This window comes from Homo sapiens, chromosome 11 (assembly GCF_000001405.40).
Source record: "Homo sapiens chromosome 11, GRCh38.p14 Primary Assembly".
Taxonomy (NCBI): Eukaryota; Metazoa; Chordata; class Mammalia; order Primates; family Hominidae; genus Homo; species Homo sapiens.
Genome location: NC_000011.10, coordinates 6,143,044 through 6,155,116, shown reverse-complemented (window position 1 = coordinate 6,155,116; position 12,073 = coordinate 6,143,044). Strand labels below are relative to the sequence as shown.

Here is a 12,073-nt window from a genome sequence, read left to right as displayed (position 1 = left end):
ATTTTAATATTGTGTTCACTGTGAATTTTTTGCATTAATTTTCATTCTGAAACATTGTATTAAAGTATTTATCTTGCTTACTGTGGTTTTTTGGTACCTACTTAAATTTTGCCCTCAAGGTAAGTGTCTTACTCATCTCACCTTATTTCTGGTCCTAGGAGAGTCAATATCTGGAGGGCTAAGAGAGTTATAAAGAAATAGTGCCCCCAATAATGTCTTGAATCTTTAGATAAACCTGATACTAGAGTCATATTTTTCAGTTACAGGGCAAAGACATCCCCTTTGTTGCAGGCCAAAATCGAGTTGGATTTTCTCTTATTCATAATATAAAGTATCCTGATAGACAGAAAAAAGAATTATCTTACACATTTTAATCTTCAGTTTGCTTTTTTAAACTTAACTACAAGAGCCTGGGCATGGTGGCTCACACCTGTAATCCTAGCACTTTGGGAGGCTGAGGCGGGCAGATCACCTGAGGTCAGGAATTCAAGAACAGCCTGGCCAACATGGCCAAACCCTGTCTTACTAAAAATACAAAAATTAGCCAGGCATGGTGGTGTGCACCTGTAGTCCCAGCTACTTGGGAAGCTGAGGCAGGAGAATCGCTTGAACCCGGGTGGTAGAGATTGCATTGAGCCGAGATCATGCCACTGTACTCTAGCCTGGGCAATAGAGTGAGACTGTGCCTCAAATAAATAAATAAATAAATAAATAAATAAATAAATAAATAAACAAACTGTATGCCATGATGAATACTTTTTAATTTTTAATGGAAACAAAACATTCCATTGTAATATGGATATGGAAGTTTTAACAGTTTCTTTTGCCATTGCAGCAATGTACCAAAGAATATCCTTATAGATATATCTCTATGTTCTTAAGCTGTAATTTCAGCAGGTAGTTGCCAAAAGTGATATTATCAGATTAAATGATTTGAACAATTAGAATTCTTAATAGCTACTGTTAAATTACTTTCCAAAATCACTATACTAAGTTACCTGCCACCAGCAGTGGGGGCTGTTTTCCTAAAGTTTTCCAATATAATAAGAGAATTATGATATTTCAAGATGATGCTAATTTTCATTTCTTGAAATTTTGTAAGGTCAAGCATCTAGTCATATGTATATTGGCCATCTGTTTTTTTCATTGACTTTATCTATTTTAATTCTTTGGACATTTTCTAATTTTTTCTTTTTCAATTATACCAACTTTTAGTGTTTAAGAATATATTAACCTCCTGTATATTACATGTTTTGTGTTTTTTTCTCCAAAAATTGTTATTTATTATTGACTACATTTTTACATAATTGCATCCTTCAGTGGCTACTTTCTATGAAATTTGGTTTTCTTATCTCAGTCAGATCTTTCAACCTTCAAAACATTTTATCATGTTTCTGCTTCAGACCCTCATTTAAGTTTAGAAAATATTTTTATAGTTTCATCTTAAAAATGTACATATTTTATTAATCTGGAATTTCTGTTTGTTTACTGAGTAAGGTGGGAACTAATTTTATTCTCTTACAAAAATAATATAGTCCAATATCTCAAAGCCATTAATCAAATAGGCTTTCCTTTCCCCCACTAAATTGAATGCTACTTTATCACATTTTGAATTCTAAATATATTTTTATTGGTTTCTAACATGTCTACTAAGTTGTACTGATCCACATAATACCAATAACTAGCATTTGTTTGGTGTTTCTCTTCCAGGCACTATGCTTGGCAGTTTGCAGAAAGTATTTAAATTAATTCTTGCAAAATAAGTGTGGATAGTTCAATTTCACAGATCAGGCTAAATTTCTGATATGTGAAAAACTCTTTTTGCCAATAATCAGAAAATCAGAAGGCTAGGATTTGAACCTAGGAAAGGCTTCCCCAATAATAAATATTTAAGCTGTGAATTGGAAGATCAGTGTTTCAACAAACACTAAAGATAGAAAAGTATGTTCCAGGTTAGGGTAAAAACTTGAGAAAAGTCATGAGAGTTAGAAACCCAGGTTTTGTGTGGAGAATATTTAGTATAAATAATCTAATTTAGCTTTATTAGAGTCTACAGGCGATTAAAGCTGGAGAAGAAAGTAACAGTGGGATTGTGGAGGGCTTTGCATGCTTGAGAACTTTGGACTTCATAAGTCAATAAATAATTATATAAGAGTAATAAGAGAAAACAGACGAAGATATTTGTTTTGAGCATACCAACCAGACTGCAACATAGCTGATGAATGTGAAGGAGTTGAGGTTGGGAAGCTGGAAGACAGGGAGACCAGATTAGTTTAGGACACTGTTGCAACAGAACAGGTAAATGATGATCAAAGCCTGAGCAAGAACATGCCAATGAGAATGGGGAGGTATGTATGGCTTCTAGATATTGCTGAGATGTGATCAGAAACCTTTGTTTATATTTGTATCTGCAATTATAATGTGAGAAGTGGAAGAATAACATTATATACTCTCAGTCAAGGCATTAGTGATTGATTCCATGTTCAACTTTTAGTGGAACTTACAACTGGCTCTGCTGACTAACTCTCATGTTCTTTAGTCTTCATAGAGAGACTCCAAAAGAAGGCATGTTTGGTGCTAATCTCACCACCTTCCATCCCACTCTATTCATTCTCCTTGGCATCCCAGGACTGGAGCAATACCACATCTGGCTTTCCATTCCTTTCTACCTTATGTACATCACTGCAGTCTTGGGAAATGGAGCCCTCATCCTAGTTGTCCTCAGTGAACACACCCTCCATGTCTTCCTATCCATGCTGGCTGGCACTGATATCCTGCTATCCACCACCACTGTGCCTAAGGCCTTGGCGATCTTCTGGGTCCACGCTGGGGAGATAGCCTTTGATGCCTGCATTACTCAGATGTTTTTCATTCATGTTGCCTTTGTGGCTGAGTCAGGAATCCTGCTGGCCATGGCATTTGACAGTTATGTAGCCATTTGTACTCCCTTGAGATACACTACCATCTTAACTTCTATGGTAAATGGAAAAATGACCCTGACAATCTGGGGACAAAGCATTGGGACAATTTTTCCTGTCATATTCCTGCTGAAGAGGCTGCCATACTGTCAGACCAATATCATCCCCCACTCATACTGTGAGCACATTGGGGTGGCCCAATTGGCCTGTGCTGACATAACTGTCAATATCTGGTATGGCTTTTCAGTGCCAATGGCATCGGTTTTGGTAGATGTTGCATTCATTGGTTTTTCCTACACTTTGATCCTCCAGGCTGTGTTTAGACTTCCTTCCCAGGAGTCCCAGCACAAAGCTCTTAACACCTGTGGTTCTACATTGGAGTTGTTCTCCTCTTCTTCATCCCATCATTTTTTACTTTCCTGACCCACCGCTTTGGCAAGAATATCCCCCATCATGTCCACATACTTCTGGCAAATCTCTACTTGCTTGTTCCCCCATGCTTAACCCCATTATCTACGGAGAGAAGACCAAGCAAATCAGGGACAGTATGGCTCATATGTTATCTGTGGTGGGGAAGTCTTGAGACATCATGGTCTCTTCACAGTTTTCTCTTACCAGTAGGAGAAAAGAGAAGTTGCCAATCAAGTTCCCAAGTTTAGGCCCTATAGTGTGTTGCAGCAGAAAGCACATGGACTTTGGAATAAAATATACTTGGATTCAAATCCTGGCTCCTTCACTTTCTGATTTTGAAAAATCATGGAGAGGTTCCCATCTTTTGAAAATTTAGTTTTAACCTGTAAAGTTGAACTGCTCATATCTATGCTCTAAAGTTTTTGTAAGGATTAAATTAAATATGTAAACTACTTGGCACATTGCCCAGTATTACGTGGGATCTCATGTTAGCTATAATTTTAACTTGAAGTTTGTTGCCTGAGGAAGATGTCTTAGATTTGATGTATATGAGAGTCCCAATATTTCCAGAGGCTCTTCTGCCTCCTCCTGCTTACCTTCCAAGGCTGTGTCATGATCATCATCATCTCCAGCATCACTGCTGTCATTATCACAAGTTTGTGGTGAAAATCAAACTGGGTAATAAATATTTAAAAAATGCTTTTGAAAAACATGAAGCAGACCAGAATGGTGGCTCACACTTGTAATCCCAGTACTTTGGGAGGCTGAGGCAGATGGATTATTTGAAGCTAGGAGCCCGAGACGAGCCTGGCCAACATGGAGAAACCCCATCTCTACTAAAAATACACACACACACAAAATTAGCTAGTCATGGTAGCGCATGTCTGTAATTCCAGCTACTTGGGAGGCTGAGGCAGGAGGATCATTTGAACCTGGGAGGCTGGGGTTGCAGTGAGCCGAGATCACACCACTGCACACCAGCATGGATGACAGAGCAAGAGATTGTCTCAAAAAAAAAAAAAAAAGGTGTGTGTTGGGGGAACTCCACTAAGCTGTTGAAAAAGGATTAAGGTTTGCATTGATTATATTTTATATGTAAGGAACGATCACCATTATTATATTTTAAAATCCTTTTACAGGTTGGGCACAGTGGCTCATGCCTGTAATCCCAGCACTTCGGGAGGCTAAGGTGGGTGGGTCAGCTGGGGTCAGGAGTTCAAGACCAGCCTGACCAACATGGTGAAACCCCATCTCTACTAAAAATACAAAATTAGCCAGACATGGTTGCGGGTGTCTGTAATCCCAGCTACTCGGGAGGCTGAGGCAGGAGAATTGCTTGAACCCAGTAGGCAGAGGTTGCAGTGAGCTGAGATCGCGCCATTGCACTCCAGCCTGGGCGACAAAGTGAGACTTCGTCTCAAAATAAATAAATAAATATAAAAAAAAAATCCTTTTACTCATCCAGGAAATGGGCCAGGTGACACTGACACAGGCACTACTCATAGAGAGCTGAGGGTCTGAACTCACAGGAACAAAGAACAAGTTATGGGCCCACACTGATAATAGGAAAAATGATATATCATATATTCAGATGTTAGAAAAATGAAGCAAGCTAATATTCTATGATGTTAGTTCCTCTTACCTATTTGTACCTTTTAAAAAATCTAATCAGAGCTAAATTTGAATAGCTTTAAATTCCATTTATAAATTATGATTACTTCCAAACTGCTCCCTTCAGCTCAGCCTTTTCCCTTGAGATCCACATTTATATAGTGAACTATTTCTTGACTTCTCCAGTTGTATATTTAGTAGGTATCTCAAAATAAACATGTCTGTATTAGAAGGGTAGCTTAGGCTATGCTACAGTAATGCATCATACAATTTCAGTGAATTATCAAAACAAAGTTCATACCTCTATCCTTTAAAGTGTAGTGTGTGTCAATAGGATCTATTATCCATTTAGTGGCTCAGGAATCCTGAATCCCTCCATCTTGTGATGTTATGTAAACATACATTTTTCAGAGTTGCTAAAGCCAGGAAAGAGAGAGAAGCATGAGATAGAGCAATTATTAACTGTCTTGGTCTTAAGTAATTCATCACTTTTATTCACATTTTCACTGATAAGCCTGTGGCCTCATGGCCCAAACTCAACTGCAGGGAAAGCTGGGAAATATAGGAGTACTCATGGATTTGCAGTATTAATTGTCTCTGTCACCATCTGTACTTTTGGTTACTTAATATTTATTTGCTCCCTTTTCACAATGTAGAGACCACACCCAAATTCTCTCCACAGGAGAGACTCCAAAGTCCCACCCAACACTCCACAGGTGGGAATTGTTCAATTCCCACCTATGACTGAGAACATGCGGTGTTTGGTTTTTTGTCCTTGTGATAGTTTACTGAGAATGATGATTTCCAATTTCATCCATGTCCCTACAAAGGACATGAACTCATCATTTTTTATGGCTGCATAGTATTCCATGGTGTATATGAGCCACATTTTCTTAATCCAGTCTATCATTGTTGGACATTTGGGTTGGTTCCAAGTCTTTGCTATTGTGAATAATGCCGCAATAAACATACGTGTGCATGTGTCTTTATAGCAGCATGATTTATAGTCCTTTGGGTATATACCCAGTAATGGGATGGCTGGGTCAAATGGTATTTCTATTTCTAGGTCCCTGAGGAATCGCCACACTGACTTCCACAATGGTTGAACTAGTTTACAGTCCCACCAACAGTGTAAAAGTGTTCCTATTTCTCCACATCCTCTCCAGCACCTGTTGTTTCCTGACTTTTTAATGATTGCCATTCTAACTGATGTGAGATGGTATCTCATTGTGGTTTTGGTTTGCATTTCTCTGATGGCCAGTGATGGTGAGCATTTTTTCATGTGTTTTTTGGCTGCATAGATGTCTTCTCTTGAGAAGTGTCTGTTCATGTCCTTTGCCCACTTTTTGATGGAGTTTGTTTTTTTCTTGTAAATTTGTTTGAGTTCATTGTAGATTCTGGATATTAGCCCTTTGTCAGATGAGTAGGTTGCGAAAATTTTCTCCCATTTTGTAGGTTGCCTGTTCACTCTCATGGTAGTTTCTTTTGCTGTGCAGAAGCTCTTTAGTTTAATGAAATCCCATTTGTCAATTATGTCTTTTGTCACCATTGCTTTTGGTGTTTTAGACATGAAGTCCTTGCCCATGCCTATGTCCTGAATGGTAATGCCTAGGTTTTCTTCTAGGGTTTTTATGGTTTTAGGTCTAATGTTTAAGTCTTTAATCCATCTTGAATTGATTTTTGTATAAGGTGTAAGGAAGGGATCCAGTTTCAGCTTTCTACATATGGCTAGCCAGTTTTCCCAGCACCATTTATTAAATAGGGAATCCTTTCCCCATTGCTTGTTTTTCTCAGGTTTGTCAAAGATCAGATAGTTGTAGATATGCGTCATTATTTCTGAGGCCTCTGTTCTGTTCCATCGATCTATATCTCTGTTTTGGTACCAGTACCATGCTGTTTTGGTTACCGTAGCCTTGTAGTATAGTTTGAAGTCAGGTAGTGTGATGCCTCCAGCTTTGTTCTTTTGGCTCAGGATTGACTTGGCGATGCGGGCTCTTTTTTGGTTCCATATGAACTTTAAAGTAGTTTTTTCCAGTTCTGTGAAGAAAGTCATTGGTAGCTTGATGGGGATGGCATTGAATCTGTAAATTACCTTGGGCAGTATGGCCATTTTCACGATATTGATTCTTCCTACCCATGAGCATGGAATGTTCTTCCATTTGTATCCTTTTTTATTTCCTTGAGCAGTGGTTTGTAGTTCTCCTTGAAGAGGTCCTTCACGTCCCTTGTAAGTTGGATTCCTAGGTATTCTATTCTCTTTGAAGGAATTGTGAATGGGAGTTCACTCATGATTTGGCTCTCTGTTTGTCTGTTGTTGGTGTATAAGAATGCTTGTGATTTTTGTATGTTGATTTTGTATCCTGAGACTTTGCTGAAGTTGCTTATCAGCTTAAGGAGATTTTGGGCTGAGACAATGGGGTTTTCTAGATATACAATCATGTTGACTGCAAACAGGGACAATTTGACTTCCTCTTTTCCTAATTGAATACCCTTTATTTCCTTCTCCTGCCTGATTGCCCTGGCCAGAACTTCCAACACTATGTTGAATAGGAGTGGTGAGAGAGGGCATCCCTGTCTTGTGCCAGTTTTCAAAGGGAATGCTTCCAGTTTTTGCCCATTCAGTATGATGTTGGCTGTGGGTTTGTCATAGATAGCTCTTATTATTTTGAGATATGTCCCATCAATACCTAATTTATTGAGAGTTTTTAGGATGAAGGTTGTTGAATTTGTCAAAGGCTTTTTCTGCATCTATTGAGATAATCATGTGGTTTTTGTCTTTGGTTCTGTTTACGTGCTGGATTACATTTATTGATTTGCGTATGTTGAACCAGCTTGCATCCCAGGGATGAAGCCCACTTGATCATGGTGGATAAGCTTTTTGATGTGCTGCTGGATTCGGTTTGCCAGTATTTTATTGAGGATTTTTGCATCAATGTTCATCAAGGATATTGGTCTAAAATTCTCTTTTTTGGTTGTGTCTCTGCCCGGCTTTGGTATCAGGATGATGCTGGCCTCATAAAATGAGTTAGGGAGGATTCCCTCTTTTTCTATTGATTGGAATAGTTTCAGAAGGAATGGTACCAGTTCCTCCTTGTACCTCTGGTAGAATTCGGCTGTGAATCCATCTGGTCCTGGACTCTTTTTCGTTGGTAAGCTACTGATTATTGCCACAATTTCAGCTCCTGTTATTGGTCTATTCAGAGATTCAACTTCTTCCTGGTTTAGTCTTGGGAGAGTGTATGTGTTGAGGAATTTATCCATTTCTTCTAGATTTTCTAGTTTATTTGCATAGAGGTGTTTGTAGTATGCTCTGATGGTAGTTTGTATTTCTGTGGGATCGGTGGTGATATCCCCTTTATCATTTTTTCTTGCGTCTATTTGATTCTTCTCTCTTTTTTTCTTTATTAGTCTTGCTAGCGGTCTATCAATTTTGTTGATCCTTTCAAAAAACCAGCTCCTGGATTCGTTAATTTTTTGAAGGGTTTTTTGTGTCTCTATTTCCTTCAGTTCTGCTCTGATTTTAGTTATTTCTTACCTTCTGCTAGCTTTTGAATGTGTTTGCTCTTGCTTCTCTAGTTCTTTTAATTGTGATGTTAGGGTGTCAATTTTGGATCTTTCCTGCTTTCTGTTGTGGGCATTTAGTGCTATAAATTTCCCTCTACACACTGCTTTGAATGTGTCCCAGAGATTCTAGTATGTTGTGTCTTTGTTCTCGTTGGTTTCAAAGAACATCTTTATTTCTGCCTTCATTTCATTATGTACCCAGTAGTCATTGAGGAGCAGGTTGTTCAGTTTCCATGTAGTTGAGCGGTTTTGAGTGAGATTCTTAATCCTGAGTTCTAGTTTGATTGCACTGTGGTCTGAGAGATAGTTTGTTATAATCTCTGTTCTTTTACATTTGCTGAGGAGAGCTTTACTTCCAAGTATGTGGTCAATTTTGGAATAGGTGTGGTGTGGTGCTGAAAAAAATGTATATTCTGTTGATTTGGGGTGGAGAGTTCTGTAGATGTCTGTTAGGTCTGCTTGGTGCAGAGCTGAGTTCAATTCCTGGGTATCCTTGTTGACTTTCTGTCTCGTTGATCTGTCTAATGTTGACAGTGGGGTGTTAAAGTCTCCCATTATTAATGTGTGGGCATCTAAGTCTCTTTGTAGGTCACTCAGGACTTGCTTTATGAATCTGGGTGCTCCTGTATTGGGTGCATATATATTTAGGATAGTTAGCTCTTCTTGTTGAATTGATCCCTTTACCATTATGTAATGGCCTTCTTTGTCTCTTTTGATCTTTGTTGGTTTAAAGTCTGTTTTATCAGAGACTAGGATTGCAACCCCTGCCTTTTTTTGTTTTCCATTTGTTTGGTAGATCTTCCTCCATCCTTTTATTTTGAGCCTATGTGTGTCTCTGCCCGTGAGATGGGTTTCCTGAATACAGCACACTGATGGGTCTTGACTCTTTATCCAATTTGTCAGTCTGTGTCTTTTAATTGGAGCATTTAGTCCATTTACATTTAAAGTTAATATTGTTATGTGTGAATTTGATCCTGTCATTATGATGTTAGCTGGTTATTTTGCTCGTTAGTTGATGCAGTTTCTTCCTAGTCTCGATGGTCTTTACATTTTGGCATGATTTTGCAGCGGCTGGTCCTGGTTATTCCTTTCCATGTTTAGCGCTTCCTTCAGGAGCTCTTGTAGGGCAGGCCTGGTGGTGACAAAATCTCTCAGCATTTGCTTGTTGTAAAGTATTTTATTTCTCCTTCACTTATGAAGCTTAGTTTGGCTGGATATGAAATTCTGGGTTGAAAATTCTTTTCTTTAAGAATGTTGAATATTGGCCCCCACTCTCTTCTGGCTTGTAGAGTTTCTGCTGAGAGATCTGCTGTTAGTCTGATGGGCTTCCCTTTGAGGGTAACCCAACCTTTCTCTCTGGCTGCCCTTAACATTTTTTCCTTCATTTCAACTTTGGTGAATCTGACAATTATGTGTCTTGGTGTTGCTCTTCTCGAGGAGTATCTTTGTGACGTTCTCTGTATTTCCTGAATCTGAATGTTGGCCTGCCTTGCTAGACTGGGGAAGTTCTCCTGGATAATATCCTGCAGAGTGTTTTCCAACTTGGTTCCATTCTCCCCGTCACTTTCAGGTCCACCAATCAGACGTAGATTTGGTCTTTTCACATAGTCCCATATTTCTTGGAGGCTTTGCTCGTTTCTTTTTATTCTTTTTTCTCTAAACTTCCCTTCTCACTTCATTTCATTCATTTCATCTTCCATCACTGATATGCTTTCTTCCAGTTGATCGCATCGGCTCCTGAGGCTTCTGCATTCTTCACGTAGTTCTCGAGTCTTGGTTTTCAGCTCCATCAGCTCCTTTAAGCACTTCTCTATGTTGGTTATTCTAGTTATACATTCTTCTAAATTTTTTTCAAAGTTTTCAACTTCTTTGCCTTTGGTTTGAATGTCCTCCCGTAGCTCGGAGTAATTTGATCGTCTGAAGCCTTCTTCTCTCAGCTCATCAAAGTCATTCTCCATCCAGCTTTGTTCCGTTGCTGGTGAGGAACTGCATTCCTTTGGAGGAGGACAGGTGCTCTGCTTTTTAGAGTTTCCAGTTTTTCTGTTCTGTTTTTTCCCCATCTTTGTGGTTTTATCTACTTTTGGTCTTTGATGATGGTGATGTACAGGTGGGTTTTTGGTGTGGATGTCCTTTCTGTTTGTTAGTTTTCCTTCTAACAGAGAGGACCCTCAGCTGCAGGTCTGTTGGAGTACCCGGCCGTGTGAGGTGTCAGTCTGCCCCTGCTGGGGGGTGCCTCCCAGTTAGGCTGCTCGGGGTTCAGGGGTCAGGGACCCACTTGAGGAGGCAGTCTACCCGTTCTCATATCTCCAGCTGCGTGCTGGGAGAACCACTGCTCTCTTCAAAGCTGTCAGACAGGGACATTGAAGTCTGCAGAGGTTACTGCTGTCTTTTTGTTTGTCTGTGCCCTGCCCCCAGAGGTGGAGCCTACAGAGGCAGGCAGGCCTCCTTGAGCTGTGGTGGGCTCCACCCAGTTGGAACTTCCCAGCTGCTTTGTTTACCTCAGCAAGCCTGGGCAATGGCGGGCGCCCCTCCCCCAGCCTCGCTGCCGCCTTGCAGTTTGATCTCAGACTGCTGTGCTAGCAATCAGCGAGACTCCGTGGGCGTAGGACCCTCCCAGCCAGGTGCCGGATATAATCTCCTGGTGCATCGGTTTTTAAGGCCGTGGGAAAAGTGCAGTATTCAGGTGGGAGTGATCCGATTTTCCAGCTGCCGTCTGTCACCGCTTTCTTTGACTAGGAAAGGGAACTCCCTGACCCCTTGCGCTTCCCAAGTGAGGCAATGCCTCGCCCTGCTTCAGCTCGCGCACGGTGTGCGCACCCACTGACCTGCGCCCACTGTCTGGCACTCCCTAGTGAGATGAACCCGGTACCTCAGATGGAAATGCAGAAATCACCCGTCTTCTGCGTCGCTCACGCTGGGAGCTGTAGACCGGAGCTGTTCCTATTCGGCCATCTTCACCAACACTGTATTTTCTAACATCTCTTCTGCTAGAGCTACAAGTCTAGGAGGCAGCTGGTCCATTCTCCTGACATGCTGTAGGTATACCAACTATTTGTCTATTGCATAGCACAGATCACCATTTTTTCAATTTCTGTTATCAGATTATTATCTCCCCACTTGCAAATAAAATTCTGCATCTATACTGTTTTCCTCCATTTTTGGTATTTACTTCCAGCCATGAAGATGGGTGAGACAGTCTAGAGAACTCATAGTCCTCTTAACTGTCAATCACATTCCCAGGTGTAAACTCATTCACATGATCTCCAGCAGTCAATTAGGCTATGATGCAGTAACATTTAAGCCATTCTGCTCCTTCCATAGGAGAGAGCTGTTCCTGGGAAACAGCTAACAAGCTAGTGATACATTAAACAAATAATAATCTTTTTTTCTAGATGGGACTACATAACTAGGATGGCCAAAGAAATGTGGGCAGAAGTGATGTGTGTCACTTCCACATTGAGGTACTTAAATATCCAGTGTAGCATTTCCATGTGCTCTTTCTTGTTCATGGTGACATCAGAGAACACATGCTGAAAATAGCAGCATTTCAAGTAAAGAAGAGTTTGGAA

The 12,073-nt window shown here is 40.2% G+C and overlaps 1 pseudogene, besides 1 other annotated feature; it reads left to right on the top strand.

Moving 5' to 3' along the window:
• On the top strand, positions 2,568-3,522 carry OR52B1P (olfactory receptor family 52 subfamily B member 1 pseudogene; annotated as a pseudogene).
• Positions 11,217-11,808: an enhancer, noted in NCBI's record as "H3K27ac-H3K4me1 hESC enhancer chr11:6164539-6165130 (GRCh37/hg19 assembly coordinates)". NCBI's record gives its function as "activates a minimal SCP1, AML or CMV promoter by ChIP-STARR-seq in primed H9 embryonic stem cells {active_cell/tissue: H9 hESC(primed)}" and the evidence as "EXISTENCE:reporter gene assay evidence [ECO:0000049][PMID:30033119]".